Raw genomic sequence first — 21883 nt, 5'->3', positions numbered from 1 at the left:
TGGAGAGTAAGAATTTTATGCTCTTAAACTTTAGAAAGCTCTTCTCACAAATAATTTTTGATGATTTCTGATTTAGAATTGATAGTAAGTTTAGAAATAGGAGAACCTTTTTGTTCATTTTCATTGCTGTTTCTCTTTGAGGTTTTTTTTGTTGTTGTTGTTGGTGTTGTTTTTTGTCTTTCAAGTTTTGCTCCAGGGCAGAGTTCCCAAAAGTAGAGCTCAAGGCAAAAATAATTTGGGGGTAACCTTAGAGTTGGGTTTCTAACTTTGAGAGAGGAGTATAACCTATCACTTTAGCATTAATATCTTTTAAAAATGCAACTATCCTTATGTATTTTTTAAATACAGTGAATAATTGCTCATAGTTAGATTAAAGGGGCAGGTTTTATTAACCCCAACGTCTTTTCATTGAGGGTCCGTTAACCTTAGATGAAATTATGCAATAAGAAAAAATTATCCTAGGACATCTTTTGGTTATCAAATTTAAAACATCAAATAATTCATGCCTTTTCACTTTAGCTTAGTGGTTCTTTAACAGTATAATGAGGGTTATTTGGGGAACTTGGTAAAGACACAGATTCTCTTCCATCTCTGTGGAATTCTGAGTCACAGGCCAGGAGGGGCCTAGGGGTCTTTAACACTTGTCCTAGGTGATTCCAACACAGGTAGTCAAAGAGCCACACTTTGGTAAATATTGCTTTATGATCGTTTGGAAATTATTGGGTCTGATAATTGGGACTTAATGTAACCACACTCACCGTGTCTCCCTTTGGCTTTCTTGAATGCTGTAACGGTGGCTCTCGTAACAGATTGCAGTGAGTGCCAGCACCATCCCCGAACAAATACAGTCCCTCTCTGTGCACGACTCTCAGGTATGTTTCTCTGCCAGTCATTCCGTTTGAGGTGCTTTGTAGACAGATCCTTTAAAAAACCAACATTTTAGAAAGATAGACAATTTCAAGGTAGTGCCTCCAAATCAAGGGCTTATAAGCTGTCTTTTTAAATAGGTTGCTATTGACTGTGCTTTGTGGGACCTCCAACCTTTAAATGATAGGCTCAAGAGTGAGAATTGATTACCAGACTGCTCCTGAAATTGCTGGTACTGTGGAAAAGAAGAAAAGGAAAGAAAATGACACCATTCTGTTATATTCCAGCCACAGAACATTGTGGTTAATTGATACTTTTATTTTTTGCTCCTGGTTGGATTTCTGTAACCTGTTTTCATAATTCTGTTATCATTGAATTTTATGGGCCAATTCGTCTCTACAACTTGCCTTGTAAAAATAATAGTCCAGTAACTGTGACATGCATTTATAATGCATATTTATTAAAGTTATGGGACAGAAGACGTGGCTGTGAGCCATGGTGGGAGGTGTTGAGGGATGCTGAGCAATCCAGGGAAAGGCCTAGGGGCATAGAACCAGAGCACAGGCCTGCATTCTGGTTCTGCTGTATAATTAACAGGCAAGCCCTTTTGTTCTCAAAGTGGTTGTACTATAAAGCGTCACCACTGTCAGGATCATAATTTTCTTTCTTTCAAACTCTGCATATTCAATTTAAATTCATTTCTGTTTTACTTGGTCTGTGTTTTATAAAATAGCCATATATTGGAGAGATAATTAGAGTGATTTTGTTGGCTTCAGGAAGCCTGTTTGAGGTCAGATACCTAATGCGGGGCCCTTATTTTATAGCTTATATATAGAGGGAGTAAAGACTTGCAGAGGTGAAGTGGCTCCCCCATAGTCACACCACTAGTTAGAGGCCAAGTCAGGATTCGGTTTAGGTCTTTACACTATATCAGGCAACTCAGTAAGAGACCTTGAGATAAACTGTAGGGATTGGTTGAATGATAAAAGGCAAGTTAAGAATAATAATGGATCAGAGGGCAAAGAGAGTAAAGGAAACGGGAACAGGGATTAGGATAACTAGTACTGTAGAGCATTTTATGACTCACTTTCATCTATATCATTTTATTCTCCCTGCAACCTTTTACGGCAGGCGTTATTCAGAGAATGGCTTGCTCATGGTTGCATTTCAGGTCAGTGGCAGTGCCAAGTCTTGACCTGAAATGCCTTATTTTTTCTACTCCAACAATAAGGTCTACTCATGTCCCGGGATTCCCTGAGAACAGGGAGAGGCTGTGTATTGGAGACATTCATGGTTAATAATCAATATTCAAGAAAATGGGCTCTAGGTGAGAAAGGCAGGAAAGATAAACAGTGGCTGAATCTTCTGGGCCCCGCCTTCCTCTGCATTGCAGGGTTTAAGGTGCCCAGCCTTTGTGATCCCCAAGTTTCAATAGTAACAGTCTATGTGTGGGTTGTGAGGTGCCATTTTAGGTAGCTGGACTTTACTACAGCTTATACAAGTTGTTTATGATACCCATCCTAGAACTGAGGCTTTCCATATGAAACATTCATATCCACAATTGTGATGGGAATTAGGCACCATTACAACCTTTACATGGAGGTGTTACGATGCCAAAGAAGGCCTGCGTGTGTAAAGATCTAGTTTTGAAATTTCCAGAAAGAAATGGCTATATGAATCAAGTGATATTGTGATTTTATTCATTCCTTTCCTGATACAGTTTATAACACTGTTTGCTGTTTTCTTTTTAAAGGGCCCACCCAATGCTAATGAAGACTACAGAGAAGCTTCTTCTTGTGCCGTGAACCTCGTTTTGAGATTAAGGTAAATAATACTGTTGTTTATTCTGCATTGTTTTTCCTATAGTACAATTTTTTAAATCTCCTTCGTTAACCTTTCATAATATTAGCATAAAATAGAATCGTTAGCTTATTTGATTTCCCCGAACCATGAGTGTATGCTGTATTCCCAGGGCTAATTGTGCTCTTCTAATTGCTTGCTAAAGAAGAGTAAGAAAGAAAAGCACCATATGAGTGTGTCTGCAGGCTCAGTGTACCTTTCATTATGTTTTATTTCCTTGCCTTTTCCTTCTTAGATTTTTTTTTCTTTTCCTTTTTCTTTTTTTTTACAATGTAAGATCACAGTAAGAGATTTTTAATGAGTTTCTTTCACACTTCAGCAGTCGGTCTCTGACAGAAATAAACCATGCTTGTACTACAGGTTGCCTGTTCAGAACATTTTTCATTGGCAAGTTTGATCAGCCACTGTGGAGAAATGACAGATATATTTTGAAAGAAATCTCAGTCTTCTAGGAAATGGATACAAATATGGTGCCTGACAGTATGGTCTTTGTCTGCAGTAGTGTGAATGAAAGCGTTTTCCGTTTTAAGGATTTTTTTTTTAATTATTTAAAGGTTCATCTTTGTGATGTTCTTTGCTAAGAATTTGATATCTCAAGACAAAACTGTTTAAACTGAATTATAAACAGCTTAGTTTACCAGTTCTATCAGAATACTGTCACATCTTTGAAGATGTTTTAAAAGAAGTTATACATATGTTCTTCTGACCATTAAACAAATAAAGCACGTGCATATACTAGGCATTTTCTGAGTTGTAGCTACAAAAAGCGGGTTCATCAGCAAGGTTAGTTTCTGGCCACTAGGGATTTTCAGAGTTGTAGCTACAAAAAGTGGGCTCATCCTTAAGGTTAGTTTCCACCCCTCTGAGTTATCATAGTCCATCTAAGTAGACCATTGGCACCATAATCACCCCTCACTTCTGATGGTCATTTATAGTCTGCATTTTCACGTATTTGTCAAAGGAACCTCACAGTAACCCTTGGTATGATTCAATTCAGAGTTAAGAAGTGAAATTATCACAAGGCTGTTTTCCTTATATTTGACAGTAGCCTTGATTATTATTCACAGTTCGTGAATTTAGCAATCACTAAAGAATGAGGTAGCCCATTCCCTTTTTGTTTGACTTTCGAACGAGGTACTTCTTTCATTTATATTTTACTTGTTCAGTTATTCATTAATTCAGCCCGTATTTATGAGGAGCCCACTCTGCGCCAGGAGCTCTGTGCCAGGCTCATGTTGTCATTGAGGTGTAGTGGTGAGCAAGACTACCAAGGTTTTAGTCTAGCCCACTGAGCATGCAGTGTTGGAAGTGACCTTTAGAATCCAACAGTCTAATCGCCCACTTTATATATGCAGGAATCTTTTTTTTAGTGTCTCTGCTGGATGTTTACCTAGCTTCTGTGCATACTAAAGCTCACGTTTTCTCCATGATGGCCCCTTTAATACTAAATAAAAGCCTTAATTGATTGATGGTTCTTCCTCCTGAAGATTAAACCGACTTTTCTGTTCTGGGCTCCTATGGGCTGTAATTCTCCCCCTTAGTGCAAATATCAGACTGTCTGCATAAAAGTCTCCTGGAAAATGTGTCAAAACACGTACTACTGAACCTTAACTTTAGATATTATTTTGCCCTGGGTGCTAGAGCAATATGACAAATGTGTTCCCTTATTTTTCTGAGAGCCATTTGTATATTTGCAAGGAATGTTCTTCTCTTTTCTTAGACAAAATACTATAAGAATCTTTAGCCTTTTTCTCATGATACAGTTTCTATATTGCTCTTGCAATCCTAGTTGCTCACCTTTATTAATATTTAGTCTGTATCTGCCTTTGTTATATTTTCTCTTGTGGGTATAGGTTGTTTTCATAAGCTTGTGGCTTAGATCACTAGTCCTACATGACGCTCCAGGAAGAAAGGGTTCTATGTTCAAATAAGTTAAAAAACAATGCACACTATTCATCAATCTGTGCATGTGCACACACACGCACATACACTTTTTTTTGGAAATCATAAGGAATATTAACATTAAATATTTTAAGAAGTTCTACAGGAAGATAATTTGTTTAACTTTCTTTAATCTAAAACCTATTTGATCTCGTAACTCTTTTTATGTGGTTATTTTGTGTTCCTTTTGTATGTAGTGCCCATATTTAAATACAGGATTCCAGATGTGGTCTGAGCAGCTGGAATACAGTATTAAGATAATGTGGTTTTTTTTTTTTTTGTAATCCACACTCTATATTTCTCCTAAATCAGCCTGAGTTTTCATTGCCTTTTGAAATATCCATGCACATGGGTGACATGTTCAGCATGACTCAGCAGCCAAACAAAACAGCTGATTTTTTTAAAGGGCTACCAAGCCTAATTCTGAACTGCAACTCTAGATAAAATTTATCTTTTATCACTAATAATTAACCTGATAGTTTTGATGAATTTCTTGTCCACTGTGTGTTTCAATCATCACCATCAGTGTGTCATATTCTAGTGTTTAGATGTATGTCCATTGCCAATCTGATTAACCTGCCTTTTAATCTTTATCCAAAACATTGATTAAGGTGTTCAGTAGTTTGAGGGCGAAGAGTCTTCTGACATCTGTTGGAAACCATTCACTGTCGGAGTGACTTTCAGTAATGAACTAGTGTTCTTTGATACAGTTGTTCAACCAGCAACAAATTCAATGCCTTTTAATGTACATCTAACACAATTATTCCAAAGGATATCATAAAGGGATCTATTATATATGTTGCTGAAGTTAATATGTACCACATTAATGGCATTTTCCTGAATCTAATGACATAGAAACACTTTCAAATAATAGAAATGTATTTTAGTATGACTTATTTTCAGTGAACACTTGTTGATATCTAATTGTTGGTACATTTGTCTAGTTAGGTTGCCATTAAAAAAAATACCATAGACTAGGCGGCTGAAACAACAGAAATGTATTTTCTCATAGTTGTGGAGATCGGGATGTCAGCATGGCTGGTTTCTGGTGAGGGCTCTCTTCTTGGCTTGCAGCTGTCTGTCTGCTTACTGAGTCCTCACATGGTGGAGAGGGAGTGAGAGCAAGCTCTCTGGTGTCTCTTGGGTCCCACCCTCATGAGCTCACCTAAACATAATTACCTCCCAAAGGCTCCATCTCTAAATACCATCACTTGGAGGGTTAGGGCTTCAGCATATGAATTTTTTTCAGGGTGGGCCACGATTCAGTACATAGCAGTTGGTGTACTTTTTTTTTCGCTAAATATTTACAAGCTAGTTATTTAGACTATTACTTTTCATATTTGTGAACTCATGAATCTCTGAGAAATTATTGTTGGAGTGGGGTGGAAAGGGGGGGGATGTCCTTGTACTTCAGTTTGAGAAATAGCCTTTGAAAGTTCTAAGTTAAACAGTATTACTTTTTTGTGATCACCGTGTTCTAAAGTAAACGAAAATGGTAAATACATTCATTCATTCTATAAATATTTATTGAGCACTTACTATGTACATGGCATTGTTCCAGGTGCTGTAATGTACCAGTAGAAAAAAGAAAAGGCAGACTTCTTGCCCTAAAGGAGCTTACATTCTAGAGCCAGGGAGAGGAAAAATTCAAATATTCAAATTGGTTGTATGATATACCAGGTTGTCTGAAGGAAAAGGTATGTGAGGAGGATAGAAAGTGAGGGGGATGGTATTCTATATTATAGAAGGTATATTAGATTTCTGTTGCTGTGTGAAAAGCTATCACAAACTTAGCAACTTAGAACAGCACCCATTTATTATCTCAGTTTCTGTAGGTTGTAAGTCCGGGTACAGTTGAGTGGGATAGTCTGCTCAGTGTCTCGCAGGCTGAAATTGCGGCATGCTCATCGGAACTCATGGTCCTCTCCCAAGCCTTTTTAGGCTGCTGGCAGAATTTAGGTCCTTGCAGTTGTGGACTGAGGCCCTGAGCTCCTATAGGCCACAAGCAGTTTACAACATGATTCTTGCCCTTTCAGGAGCAGCTGTGGACCATCTCCACTACGCCACCCTCACTCCCAAGGCCTCGGTCTTTCTGTTCAAGGTTTTTCACCTGATTAAGCAGGCCTCACCTAGGATAATCTCCTTTTTGATGAACTCAAAATCAAACTGATTTGGAACTTTAATTACATCTTCACCTTTGCCATGTGCCATAACTTAATCGCAGGAGTGACATCCCATTATCGTTATAGGTCCTGTTCATACTCAAGGGGAGAGGATGCTGCAGGGCAAGTTCACTAAGGAATGGGTTTATTGGGGTCATCTTAGAATTCTGCCTACCACAGAAGGCCTCTCCAAATAAAGTAATATTTGAACAGACAGACCCCTATTGGAAGTGAGGAAACAAGCCACGAGGCCGAGCAAACAGCACTTGCAAACGTTTGAAGCAGGAAGCATGTTATAAGTAATTGGAAAAGCAGCCAGGTAACCAGTGCAGGCAGAGCCAAGGTCATGGGCACAGAGAGTTAGCAGGGGCCAAATCACGTAGGGCTGTGTAGCCTGTGGTGAAGACTTTGGATTTTACTGTTAGAGGGCAGAAAACCAGGAGGCCTGTGAGCAAAAGAGTGATATGATCTGAATAAAATTTTAAACAGAGAGCTGCAATTGATTTATAGAGAACAGACCATGTAGAGAGCATATAAGGTGGCTGTGAGAGTCCCTAGGCAGGCTACTGCCATGACATAGTGACGATGATGTGACTTGGACCAGAGTGAGGATTAACGGAAGTGGTAAGCAATTATTGGATTCCAGATTGGGGAGAAAGAACTTGATTACTCAAGGTTTTGGCCTGAAAGTATGGAGGAATGGAGTTACTATTTTTTGAGATGGAAAAGAGAGTTTGAGTTGCAGGTTGGGATGGAATAAAGAACTCAGTTTTGCACATGTTAAGCGTGAGTTGTCTGTGAGGATGTATCAGGTAGGGATTTAGATGCATGATTTCAAAGATGTCTCGGCTAGAGATGTAAATTTGGGAACAGTTGGTGTCTATGGCATTTAAAGTTATGAAATGAGTGGAATCATCTAGGGAGTAAGTGAAGGTAGAGAAGAGAAGTGGGCTGGTACTGTCACAGATGTTGCATAGGTAAGCATCCACTGATTGAGAAGGAGAGGCTGGTGAGGTAGAGGAGAGAGTGATGTTCCTAAAAAACAAATAGAGGAAGTGTTTGAAGAAAGGAGGAGTGAAAAGCTGCATCAAATGCTATCAATAGGTCAAGTATATTTGCAAAATGAAGCACATGCTTGACCTTGGCAAGAATATTTTCAGTGGAGTGATGGGGACAAAAGCCTGGTCCAACTGGGTTCAAGAGATTGGCAAGAGAGAACAGGGGATAACAAATAGATAACTTGTTAGTACAGATAACTCTTGTGAGAAATTCTCAACACAAGGGATCAAAACTGTGGAGTGATAGCTCAATGAGAATATTGGGTAAAGGAAGATTTTTTTTAAAAAAAGCATGTTTACAGGTGAATGGGAATGATTCAATAGAGAAGGAAAAATTGAATGAGGGAGGGGACAGTGCCAGACTGATGTTCTCAGATGGGTGAACAGGGATGATCCCCAGACATCTGTTAGATAGGAGAAAGGAGAGGTCATCTCTTGGATGGTGCAGCTACCATCAGGGGAAGGCAGGCAGGGGTGGCAGGTAGAGGTGCAAGGAGACTGTACCTTGCCTGGAAGTCTTCTTCTGTTTCTATTTTCCCAGTAAAACAGGGAATGTCATTAGTTGAGAGTGGAAGGAAAAGAACGTGATGGAGGTTTTAGAAGAGAGGAGAATAATTGTGTAGGAGAGCAGGAGAGTAAATTTTCTAGGGAAATGCAGAAGGATTAACAGGCTGGAACAGGGATCACTGGAGGTTAATAATGACCCAGCATGTAAGTGTCTGTGTGTGTGTGCGCGTGCATGCGTGTGTGTGTGTGCACGTGCGTGTGATTATAATTAAGGAAACACAACATTTAAAAACATTCATAGAGGGCCAGGCGCGGTGGCTCACGCCTATAATTGCAGCACTTTGGGAGGCCAAGGCAGGCAGATCACTTGAGGTCAGGAGTTCGAGATCAGCCTGGCCAACATGGTGAAACCCTGTCTCTACTAAAAATACAAAAATTAGCTGAGTGTGGTGGCACATGGCTATAATCCCAGCTACTCAGGAGGCTGAGGCACGAGAATTGCTAGAACACGGGAGGTGGAGGTTGCAGTGAGCAGAAATTATGCCACTGCACTCTAGCCTGGGCGACAGAGCGAGACTCTGTCTCAAAAAAGTAAGTAAATAAATAAAACATTTGTAGAGGATTCTGTGAGCATAGCCATGGGCCACCATCTTAGAAACACTGTTTAAGTCATAAATAAATATGAGTCATAGAATTGCTGTCAAGCTGATCTCTTGTGTGCAAGGTGGCAGTCCCCTGTCCTCTTCTCTCACCCCAGCACCCCTCAAAGGTCTGACTTCCTTCTTTTATAGCCTTTGAAGTTACAAGCTCTTTGAGTATCAAAAACCCACTATCCAGTATTGTTCCCTGCCACACAATTTGTTCATACCCATTCCCCATTTGAAGTCTACTTTGGATCATTTGCATCATCTCTGGGCCTGAACAAGCTATTCTCTAAACCATCCTGTGTGATAGGGAGCTGGAAGGCTGCTTTTGGCTGGTGTTGATCAGATTTTTAAAAATCCATGCCCTCTTTTGCACCTTCCTCATTTGTTTCCATCTCCATTCAAGACTCTGATATATGTGAATGCATTTGTACATATACATATCTACATGTACACACACATATACGCCTGCATATGTTACACATACACGTATATTTGTATATGCCCTCACTCTCTGTGAATCACTCCTCAATGTGATGCGTGGCTGCCGGGTATTGGGAAGTAGTATGCTTGCATTTCTTATCCCCGAGCCTATCTGGGTGTGACATTTATGTGTGTTATGCTCCACAGGCTAGTAGGTAGGAGACTTTAGTTCAGGCCAGCCCTTCCTCAGTCCTTAACTAATGCTGTGTGGGTGGCTGCCCTCTCCACCTCTTGGAAAGGTCACTGTGACTTTCTTTTTGACATAGCATTTTATGGCCCTACCTGCTGGGAACGTGGCTTCCTTCCTCACTGCACGCCCCTCCCCCTCCCCCCGGAAGCTCACCTTGATTTTGTAAGTAGGAAACTGGGAAATATTTTCCTTTTCAAAATGTCACACTCTAGGAGAAAAGACAAATACGTTGTGGCTACAGGTAGTGTATTTCTCCACTATTTATTTATTCCTGGAGATCATAGGCAAAAGTCTGAGGAGGCAAAAGGGTAGTTTCTTCCTTGAAAAAAATATAGTGTTGCTTTAATTTGCTGTTATATGCAATATCAGAGAACAGGATTAGACCTTAAGGCTCAATGTTAAATGCTGGAGGTGGTTAAAATGCAGATTTATCTTTTTCTTTTATGTTTTTTGCAAATTTTTTTTGTCCATAGTATATATGATAATGTCATCTATGATATCAAAAAAATTGAATTATCATAAAGCCCGTACAAGGTAAGGAAATCCTCCTAAATGCTAAACTCAGGAGAAAAATACCAAGTGGGCCACCTTGTAATTTATATACTGTCAGTAGATGGTAATACAGTTTCTGTTTTGAGTCAAACATTATACAAATATTTTTCCATTAGTATATTTTTCATCAAATAAAATAGTCATGCATTTGGCACAAAACATGTTTATTAGAATCAGGCTCAGTGATTTGGAAAATGGTAAATCTATCACTTAAATTATTAATTCCTTTGTATTAGATGCTGTTCATACTTTGACAGCTCAGCCCTATGGATGGCATTTACAGTTTTGCTGAAGGCAGCCCTGCCAATTGCCATACATAGATATGCTGGTCTGGTATGTCCCATCAATTTGCTCATCATGAATTTACCTTGTTATTATGTAGCAGTATCATTGGACCTTGAGGGACCAGTTGAAGACCCCAGATCAGCAGAGTGGCTTCCTGCTGGTAGGGAAAAATGATCTCTAGCACGGGATACTTATTTTAACTCAGCATGACAATTGTTGCATACTTCAATTTATTATTTTGGTTTCGTTATTAAAAGATGCACTTAGCTATTTGTAAAGAATAGACTTAGTAAATTATGATTTCATAAAGAAAGCTAAATCTGTTAGAAACGATGTTGGCCATTGTTTTAGCATGAGTATGCCAGAATTCTAATTCCATCATTATTCAGGAGGAATTATAATTCTTAAACTGTTCTCTAGCCTATAAAATAGGGTTATTTGTATAATTCTTACCGGTCAAGTGGCTGGGAGGTTTGATTAATTTTTTCCCTGAAAGGTTAAATAGTGTAGGCATAGTGTTCAGTTATGCAGTGCTTTTTTAGTACATGTTCTTTTTTCCCTCCACAGCAAACTACTTATTTACTGCTTTCTTTGTGCAAGTCTTTGTTGAAAATTCAAAAATGAATAAAGCAAGGTTTCTGCACTCAGAGAGCTTACCATGTAGGCGGAGAGATCAGATCCCGCACAAGTGACCATAATATAAGGTAGAAGGTGATAAATGCAGTAAGAAGAGAGATAAAACTAAGAAGCTATGGGTAGTTAGAGGAAGGTGAAAGCCCTTTTGTTTAGATGTTATCTTTGGTGTGCTTGTTCCCATAGTAACCAGTGGTATTGTTTTTTGTGTGTGTGTGAGTTTTTTTTTTTGTTTTTTTCAACAACCAAATTTTGAGAAGAGTAATGGATAGGACGAATCCAGGGTCAGTGTCATGCTGTGGTCTTTGGTAAGGGGTTTACCGTCTTAACTTATTTCTGAAAAGACGACATTTGTTTTTCAGTAGAGTGGTATATGTTATTACGTGGGTACCAAATTAATAGAAATACAGTGCTCTGATCCAAAAAATGTCTGGCATTTTACTTCATTTTTTGGGTGTTCTCTTTTGGTTGTTTTCTTTGAGAATTTGAGTCCCTGATGCATATCTTGGCTTTATTAGTGGTATCCTTCAAAAAGATGAAATGCCTACTATGTGCCAAGCACGATGATAAGCACGTTGTTTGCTGTGTCTTGTTTAATCATCATAAAACCACCATAGCATCCATCCTATTGTTACCAGAATTTCACATGTGGGAGATTAAGGTTTAAAGTCATGAAATAATTTGTTTAACACCGTAAAGCTCACAAGAAGCAGAGGTGGGTCTTGAAGCTAGGTCAGTTTAACATGTTGGTCCTTGTTCTTCTTCCCTGACCCTGTGGCCTTGCTCTATTCAGTCCTGTTTTGAATGCAGTCAGAAACTCCTGTACTTTAGGGATTGTTACATTTACCTGTCTTCCCATTAACGTTTCACATAAATATTCTTTTAACAATGTTTCCCAACAAACTCATCATTAAATGTTATGACAGGAATATTGGAAAATATTTTTCTTGGAGGAGATGCTAAAGATGCTGCTGCAAATAGAAACTGGCATTTATCGTGTTTTAATAATTTTTCAAGCACTGTCACATCACTTGCTTGATTTAGTTTTTCCTTTCGTCCTACATTTGCTGCTGACAGATGAAACAGAAAGACTGGAGATGTTAAGTGGCTTTCCTGCAGTCACAGCTGTAATTCTCCAGCTGGCTAGCATCTGGGTCTTCTGACACTAATTCAATGTTATTGATGATATGGTATAGGGAGATAGTATACATATAGGTGATAGAGGGTCGTGTAAGGTGTTGCCTTTGGCATATACAAAATCCTTCTGCTGGTAAACATGCTAAAGGAAAGAAGGTTTGTATTCAGAAAAAATTGGTATAAGGGAAGCAAAATAGAAGCATGAAAAATCATTCATTCTGCGATAATACTGTTTTTTCCTTGACAACTGAGCAAGAGGACATTGTGAGTACAAATACTTTCAGCAACAGAGAATGCATAGAGTTCTTTAAAGATATTCTGTATTTTCAAGCCGTAAATGGTCATCTTAGAAATTCAGAAAGTCAACATAAATTAAAGAAATAACATCATCCATAATCTCACCACCCAGAAATAATTATTAGCCTCTTGGTAAATATTTTTCCAGACTTTTTTCTACATACATGTTAATGTAGATTTTTAATTTTTTAAATGTTATTGTATAAACTTTTTATTTTATTATAAAACAACATATGTTGTTTTCTAATCTGCTCTGTTTACTTTGGTAGTATGTCCTGGATACCTTTTCATATCGATGAATACAAATCTATAGAATCCTTTTTAATGGCTTCCTTATATTTGGATTGAATGCACCAAAACTTATATTACTGAAAAAGTGTTATTTGATATTGAGGGAGTTCCCAGTTTTTCAGTATTGTATCATATAAAAGGTTAAATGTACAAGAATGGTGTTTGAAAACTGCCCAGTAGGAAAATCTCTGTTAGCTTTGAATTTTGACCTTAGTGAAATGCTCTTAGACTTTGAGAAGCCTGAAGATACAGAACTGAGTAAGCCCAGTATCAAAGCACATGGGGATTACTTAGGAGCTGGTTCTGGCTCTTGGGTCAGCAGAGGTTGTCATCATCTGTGTAGCAGCAGACACCGCTTCCTCGCTCTGTGTTGGTGCTGAGTTCTTGCAGCAGGGTTTTAACGAGGTCCCTGCACTAAGAAGCTCCAAAACTGAATGATTTCTTAATGTAAGAGGGTTCCATTTTGAAGCTGTTCTTTTGGATACTTCCTTCGAAAGCTTATTCTTTAAAGAATCCTCCCTTAGCTGCTTGCTGTGAGCACCCAGGAGTTAGAGGAAGTAGCCTGTGTTGGACCTAACAGTTGGAGGAGATGAGAGATCACCTTTATGCTCTGTGAGCCTTACACAATGGCTAGCATGTTACAGATCCTGAATAAATATGTACTGCACAGGTGCCAACTGAATGATTTTTAATGAAAGGCGTATTTTACAAACAATATCAAGATGCTTCACAAGATGCTGTTTGCAGCTCTTTATTTTTGACATTGTGGTGGAAACATATACAGAAAATACTCCTTTGCTAGATTGCTTTTTTTCCAAGGCAAATTAATCCTTTTGACATAATCTCCTATATTTTGTTCTTTTAAATACTTTTCTGTTAAGACAAAAATGGACTTTTTAAGGTACCTACTATTTTAAAGATATTTTCTCTGCATGCTTATCTATATAAAGACATGAAAAGATTCATGAGAATAAAGCAAAAGTTCATAGAAGGTGTGGAGAGTCCTGGAAATATGACCAAACGATCAGTCCAGCAGGCAAGAACTGCAAGGCAGGTTCTCTGTCAGAGAATAAAAGAAGGGATGCTAAACAAGGGCCTTGCGCGAGCATTCCCTGCCCTCCATTGAGACCCAGCTGTGTTACTGTGGCTTGGCACAGTGTCTATTGGCAGTTCCCACCTCTAGGTCTCAGGACAAACTCTCATCGTTCACATTTGAAAGTGTGGATGTGCTATGTTTCTATCCACAGAGCCTTCTTTGGTAAGAGGTTTCCTAGTTAAAAAAAAAAAAAAAGTCTTCCTCATTCTTTTTTTTCCACTAAAAGAAGAGTGAAGCCAAACACCTATCAGCAGCTAGAGGATGGAAGCTGGCCTGCCTCTGTGGAGCTTACCATGGCTGTCTCTCTGAGGCAGGGCATTTTCAGGGGAGCTCTCAGGTCAGAGAAGTGGGGTGAATTGTGCCATGTCGCAAGACTAGTCAGTGTCAGCCCCAGGAGTCAAATGCCAATATCAACCTTAAGAGTAAAGTAGAGGGGGCTGGGCGCTGTGGCTTGTGCCTGTAATTGCAGCCCTTTGGGAGACCAAGGCAGGAGGATCGCTTGAGCCTAGGCATTTGAGACCAGCCTGGGCAACAAAGTGAGACCCTGTCTCAAAAAATTAAAAAAGAGTAGAGTGGAGGGCCTCCTTGCTCTCCTCTCATCTTAAGTTCCACAGCATTGTAGCCAGGAGTCAGTCTTGCATGGTAGACCAATTGTTTGGTTATGTTTTGGGGACTCTCGTGTCTTCTGTGAACTATTGCTTCTTTCTCATGAGCCTTTTAATGTCATTACACAGATAGGCGTGAAGAGAAAATGTCTTAAAAATAGTCAGTACCTTAAACAGCTTTTTTTTGGTGGCATTTAAGTCAATGTTAATTACCTGATACCTTACCTGATAGTAGCCTGAAATTTTAACAAATGCCTTTGTATTTTAAGTTATCCTTCCTGTCGCTGTGCAGAGCCTGTCTCCCTCATCCTTTTTTATATTCCACCTTTCCTGGCTACTGATGAGGTAACCTGCTGCTCTTAGCATTCTAAAAATTCTCCTCTCCAGTTTTATTAGGGAAGGTTGTCTCTTAGGACTTGTCCTCTTGATCAGAGATGAATAATTCTGGAGACTGTTTGCAGAGTTATTTCAGTTCTCCGTTACCATATCCCTGAAGATAATGAGTGGTAAGATTTCTTCCTTGAGATGCTGAGTCTTGGAAAGGTAACAAGTATATTTCAGTTTGGGGACTTTCTTTGCATTAACTTTTCTTTCCCTGTTGAAACCAGACTTCTTGGAATGTAATTTAAACTTTATTTAGCAATCCCCGAAGTGCTAGAAAACTTTATTCTCCTTGGTAAAATTCATACAGTTGTTAACTGATGGTATTGTGGGAAATCTCTGCTGTCCGGTGAATTTCATTGGTTGGCCTTTGTATTAGTTTTCTATCACTGCTATAACAGATTACCATTTACTTAGTGGCTTAAAGCAGCACAGATGTATTGTATTCCAGTCTGTAGGTCAGAAGAGTCTCAGCGGGCTAAAATCAAGGTGTCTATAGGGCTGCATTCCTTTCTGGAGGCCCTTGGGGAGAGTCTGTTTCCTTCCCTTTTCCAGCTTGTAGAGGTAGCCTGCATCCCTCGGCTCCTTCTGCCATCTGCAAAGCCAGCAGCTTAACATCTCTCTGGCCTTGCTTCTGTTAACACAAGCAAGATCTCTTTCTCTGACCACCAGGAGGCTTCTCTGCTTTTAAGGACCCTTGTGATTAGGATGGTCTCACCAGGATAATCCAAAATAATCTTTCTTCACAAGGTCCTTAATTTAATTACATCTACCAAATCCCTTTTTGCCATGAAGAGTTAACTTATTCACAGGTTCCTGAGATTTGGCTGTGGACGTATTTCGGAGCTATTATTCTGACACTAAAGAAAGATTTTAAGTGTCTCTCCTTATTTGTGGTATATAATTTCTAATTTTTATTATGCTTGCTTCCTGGTCCCACATTTCTTGGTATTACAGGGCCTGATGCAGTGCCTGTCACATTCCTAACATTCAGGCTTCCCTGAAGTAGGGCAGTGAACTTTCATGAGCTTGGATTATCATTATGGAGCACCTTTGGAGTGCCCAGTGTATGCCAAATGTTACAAAGAAGATACAGATGTGTGTGAAGCTTATTTTCTTCTATGTTTTGAGACAATCATATGGAAGTATGAAATTGCATATTATCCCTTTCAGCTGATAAGAGGGATTACTTAAAAGTACAAGGTAATTTGGAAGGTGTGCCTTCCTATGAAATCTTTCAAGTAGAGATCTGGAATCTGTAGTTCCCATGTAGCCCCCTCCTTTAGAATCGGACACCCAGTTCTCTCCTAATGTACATGAGTAGTGTGTTTCTAACGCTTCACTATTACAAACAATGCCACCTTACACACATCTGGTTATTTCCCAAGGAAGAGTAGGAACACAGACACAAGTCAGGCAAGTGCAGGGCACAGGCAAGGAGAATTGCTAGTTCTCAGCTGGTGGCTGGAGTCATAGTTACTATTATGGATAGCATTTACTGCTTGCTACTCATATGCAAGGCAGTGTGTTAAATGCCCACTGCCTTGTTTCTTTTACTTCTGACAACACTGTGAAATAGATACTAATGTTATTCTCATTTACAGATGAAAAACAACCAAAGCACCAAAGTTAATTTACTTGCCTAGAGAGTTAAACACTCCTGTTTAGTACCTGAGCAGGAATTCTAACTTGTGTTATCTGATCCTGGTAGGTCCTCATTTAAATGATGCCCTGGATAGCTTCCAATGAAAGAAAAGTCCAGAAATATTGATTGGCAGATACTTGGTTAAGGATTTTGTGCTAGGGAATTGGGATTTTCTTTTCTAGGCAATGGAAAGTAATAAAAATATCTTTTGGGTGACAGGAGGCAACCTGGTAAGAAAATTACCAGGACTTTTGTTCACTCAGAAATCGGAGCTTATCTATCTCTCTGCCTCCATTCTTGTCATTATCCAGCATTAGCCGTGTGTTCTGGATGTTAGGTGGTAGCCGGGAGAGAATTGATTAACTCAGGGGAGTCTTCATCTTCTTCAGTTCACTTTCAGAGATCCTGAGTCTTGTGTGGTGCTTATTTCACACTGTTTTTCTTTGACTGTTACATCAACTGACAATCCAACGAGCATCTGGGCAAAGGGCTGGTGGTTTTACAAGGTACTCAGTGGCCACTGGTTATCAGAGCTATCACTTGTTCCTTTTGCAAACGGTGATGAAAACCATCTCGTCAATAGCATTAGGCATTAGGCATTTGCCAGATGATGCATTAGGCATTTGCCAGAGCTGACCACATTTAGTCTGTGTGACGCTGTTGAGGGTATTACATGGGTAAAGGAAGGTCTGGGGTCACATCAGAGGCATTGCAGAGCTAGGGGAATGAGATGATATGACCATCTGGACATGGCGCCTAGCTTTGATGCCAGTAGCTGGTGTCAGGTGGCGGGGTTGCTAATTACAGAAGGTAGCTAGAGAACCTGAAGAGTCAACAACAAAGGTGGTGGAAAGAATAAAGCAAGAGCCAATTATTGGAGGCTTGAGTGGTTCGGTTAGTGTTTTCTAGCAGGTTTCATTTACCCAGGTCCTGTACTGTCCCTGGGGCCTGCAGATGACCTCTTAGAAGTGGCCCAGTTTGGTCCAATATTCATGAGAGACAAGAACATGAATTTACCTGAACTTAAAAAGCATAGGCCGGGCCGGGCCGGGCGCGGTGGCTCACACCTGTAATCCCAGCACTTTGGGAGGCCAAGGCCGGCGGATCACGAGGTCAGGAGATCGAGACCGTCCTGGCTAACGTGGTGAAACCCCGTCTCTACTAAAAATACAAAAAATTAGCCAGGCGTGGTGGCGGTTGCCTGTAGTCCCAGCTACTCAGGAGGCTGAGGCAGGAGAATGGCATGAACCTGGGAGGCGGAGGTTGCAGTGAGCCGAGATTGTGCCATTATACTTCAGCCTGGGTGACAGAATGAGACCCCTTCTCAAAAAAAAAAAAAAGCATAGGCCAAGAAGGAGGTAGAAAATAACTGTATTTTAGGGAACTATGGCAAAATAAAACCCATCACTTGATAAGGATCTTAATCAGAATTTGGCTGCATGGAATAACTAGAGATTATCTCCTGAGCTTTCACCCTCTGGGCCACATAGAAATGGGACTATCAAATATAAGAACTACTCTTTTAAAAAATTTTCAGAAAATAAAACTCTGTGCCGTCGTCTGGTAATCTGCTTAGCTCAGTGAGTTTCCCCAGTGAGGTAAGTAGTTAAGCAACTTTAATCTCCAAAAGGAAATATGAGTTTTGGTTGAGTTTTTAATGAATTTGGATATGGAAGATGCTGTCAAGCATACCTGGCCACAAAGTATTAATGTAAATCCTCTTTAAAACCCTTTGACTCATTTTTATTTGCAGAGATACATCTTGTTTCATAAAAGCATTGGAGGGCTTCTGCCCTGGGTAAGAAAGCAAACCACCTTTCTGACACAGAGGGCCCTGGGGAGGAGGTTTGGTCTCCTGTCCCCATAAGTTTATATTAATCCTTTACCTTGGAGCATGCTGCAGTGGCTACTTGAAGATGACTTTTCAGTCCCTACTTGGAGAATTTACCAGCATGCCCACCAATGGCCTTTGTTGTCTTAATGGAGAAGCTCTGGGGATTTTGTAAAACCAAACTTTGTACGTTTGTCTGGAACTCGTTCTAGAGTTCTTGCTGTGGAGCAGATACAAGGTCAGCTCAGTCAAAAAGCTGATGGGGTTTTTGTCCTTTGATCCTTTCTCTTTTTATGGTTTGGTTGCACCATTTTGCTCCCTCCCCCGAAAGAGAAGTCTTTCTCTGAGAATGTTCAAATGAATTATTAGGCCTCTAAAGCACTTAAAATGAATGTGTATTACCACAGCATGGCTATACCATTTTAAACTCTAACATTGTAAATCACACAGGATCCTAGTCAGATTGGCCTTTTGACTACATTAGCCTAGCTGTTCTGTTGCAGGGAAGTGTATTGTTTGCTTATAGAGTATTTTTAGCAATATCCAAGTAGCTAAGAAGAATCTTTTTTTTATTTCTTAAAACATTCTGTCTCTTTTACCTCTTTTCTCCAACATCTGAAAGAAAATGGGGAACTTAAAAAATATCAGGGCTAAAAGATATTTAACAATGCTTCATTCTCTTTTTTTCCTTTTTTTTTAAGTTGTTTTTTCTTCATTCTTTTTTAATCAGTTTATTGTACAATCTATACTCGCTGGGTAAAAACAAAACAGAAGTTTTATGTTTCTTTAGTTACTGCCTTTAAAGAGTTGTCAGATCTTCCCTTCCCATCTTTTAATGGCATCTTTGGCATTAGGCCATAATTTTCCTGTCACTTGGAATGTAAAAAAGTTTGGTTTAAGCTTCCATTTATTATGCAGTTTCACCTTTATCCCCTCCCATCACCCACCTGACCCCTCTCCCTGAGGAGGGAACACAGTTACCCTTTCTCCCCTTTTTGGGTTGCTTTTTCCTCTTGGTTGCCACTGCTTCTCTAAAACTAACTGGCTGCCAGTGTCCTCTGAGGCCAGTGTCCAAAGGCCAGCTCTTCAGTAGTGACCCTTGTGGGACTCTCTGAAGAGATATAGGCCAGCTCTGCTTCCTTTCACCTAGGGAGGTGAGCAAGTGACTCACCTCCACTTGGGAGGAGTGGGGTGATGGCAAGATGGCTTGATGTGGGCCACCTTCCAGGTGACCCCTTCACCACACCAAGACACGGGGGTAGGTGTGCGTGGATGCTGAACGGCTGCTCCTTCTCTGCACTCTGCCGTGTCTCACTAGTTTTCTTTTGTTTGTTTGTTTGTTTGTTTGTTTTGTTTTTGAGATGAAGGAGTCTCCCTCTGTTGCCAGGCTGGAGTGCAGTGGCACGATCTTGGCTTACTGCAACCTCCACCTCTCAGGTTCAAGCAATTCTCCTGCCTCAGCCTCCCACATAGCTGGGACTACAGGCATGCACCACCACGCCCGGCTAATTTTTTGTATTTTAGTAAAGGCGGGGTTTCACCATGTTGGCCAGGATGGTCTCGATCTCCTGACCTCGTGATCCGCCCGCCTCAGCCTCCCAAAGTGCTGGGATTACAGGTGTGAGCCACCATGCCTGGCCATCTTGCTAGTTTTCTTTTCCTTGCTCAGGCAGTAGGGGTAGGGTTGATCGATATGTCTGCTCCCTAAGCAGGTATTGATCTGGGGAATGAGATGCCAGCCTTGCCTCCTTGCCCACTCCTTTGACCTGTGGAGTGCCTCTCTGGGGGACTCCTGCAGTTGTATTGGTAGTGGGGAGCCTCAGTACACACCCTAGACCAGTAACTCGTGAGGGTTCCCTGTCATTCTTTACCCCTTCCCCATATTTTCTTTATAAAGATAGGAGTTGGAGGAGTCAGATGTCGTGGTTGGGGCTAGCATAGCCATTTTGGCCAATTGTTAATAAGCCTTAAAGGAGTAGCATGATATTTGCATCAATCTTTAGAATATGGGGTAGCTGATGTCTGGTTATTTTTAGCTTAGCATCCTAGGAACAGTGCTAGGGTGACAGGAAAAGATTCACCTAATATCCACTGTCACAGTCATTCTTCTGTACGTCTATTGAACTCCTGCTGGGCAAGTTACCATGGGAATATTCTAAAACATAAACTTTGTCCTTGAAAGATCTTATATTTTGGTTTAAGAAAATAAGGATATAAACAGAGAAAATATTGAATAACCATATAAGACAGCATGTGGAGAATAGTTCAAATAAATTAAATTGAGAATAATGGTGTCATTTTTCAAATATCAGTGTCAACTGGGGTGGACGGCTAAGACTGCCTCTGGCCTGCTGCAGGGGGTGTGGGGGTGGGTGAGGCAGGGGGCCTGAGTGTTTCTGTTCTAGAGGATGCCTTCCAGCTCTGTTGTGTAGCTTCTAGCTGTGCTCTGCAGGTTAAAAGAAGAGGAAACACCCAGGGTGTGGGAGGAATGGAAGAAGAAATGTGAAAATGTACCAAGGCACAGGTTTAGGACTAACTTGATTTTTTTTTTAACCAGATTAAATTTTGAAATAACATCATTATATTCTTGTTTATAACTTTTTTTTGGTCACTTATAAGATGCAAATGAACAATGTTGGGTTTTTTTTGGTTTTTTTGTTTGTTTGTTTTTTGTTTTTTTGACTTGTGCCTTTACTTTCAACAGAAGTTACAAGGAGCTTGCTGTTCACTGAATGCTTTTCTTTCTCTTCTCTGTTATCAGGTTGATTCCTCTTCAGTATAGTTACTCATTTTTTCCTGTACTTACCTGAAAGGAGAATGTAATTAACCACTGTCTTTGGCAGTGGGTCTGTTGGAATTATTACCTGTTTGGCCCTTAGTCATGGTTGGTTGGTTTACATTCTTGGTCTCCTTTCCCAATCTTATTTGTCTTCTGTGACCCTTGCCCAGCATGCAGTTGGCCTCTCCTTCCACTGCAGACAAACAGGTCTTCGCTCACCTTCCCAAAAAGCTGTCACTGGTTCCCTTGGGTTTGCCTCACCACAGTGCAACAAAGTGCATGAATTTGGGTATTTGTAGATTTGGTGCAGTGTACATTTTAATCTTCTTCTTCTCTTTTTCTAAACTCCTGGTCCTTTTATACTTTCCTTCCTGTTTCTTAGATAATTATTAGAGGCTGATCTTTTCAGTGTTAGCATCTTTCTTATAAACAGTCTTTGGGTCATATTTCAGTATTTTATCAAGCTTACTTTAAGGACAAATCAAGCTGATGCCCAGTAACCTCTCTTAGGCTAGAATTGACTTTATGATGTTCAGTAAATCACCATGTTTAAGGACTCCAAACTTATCGTAGTGGCCTTGGACTTCAAGTTGCATATTGAGTGATAAGGAAAGGACCATATATCTATTTTTCCATCCT

General features: G+C 40.0%; 1 protein-coding gene across 7 annotated transcripts in view, besides 1 other annotated feature; it reads left to right on the top strand.

Annotated features, from left to right (window-relative positions):
* Positions 1 to 21883, top strand: part of STK39 (serine/threonine kinase 39) — a 293574-nt gene that overhangs the window by 181405 nt on the left and 90286 nt on the right. For 5 of the 7 annotated variants that reach the window (NM_013233.3, XM_047443944.1, XM_017003817.3 and 2 more), the window contains 2 exons: positions 810 to 872; positions 2621 to 2691. In NM_013233.3, coding sequence (NP_037365.2) covers positions 810 to 872; positions 2621 to 2691 — 134 coding nt within the window. The remainder of the gene's footprint in view (positions 1 to 809; positions 873 to 2620; positions 2692 to 21883) is intronic. The other 2 variants (NM_001410961.1, XM_047443941.1) reach the window with 1 other exon arrangement.
* Positions 1600 to 2139: an enhancer, noted in NCBI's record as "NANOG hESC enhancer chr2:168920562-168921101 (GRCh37/hg19 assembly coordinates)". NCBI's record gives its function as "activates a minimal SCP1, AML or CMV promoter by ChIP-STARR-seq in naive H9 embryonic stem cells {active_cell/tissue: H9 hESC(naive)}" and the evidence as "EXISTENCE:reporter gene assay evidence [ECO:0000049][PMID:30033119]".

The sequence above is a fragment of the Homo sapiens genome, chromosome 2, assembly GCF_000001405.40.
Source record: "Homo sapiens chromosome 2, GRCh38.p14 Primary Assembly".
Taxonomy (NCBI): Eukaryota; Metazoa; Chordata; class Mammalia; order Primates; family Hominidae; genus Homo; species Homo sapiens.
This window is presented reverse-complemented; position numbering and strand designations above follow the sequence as displayed.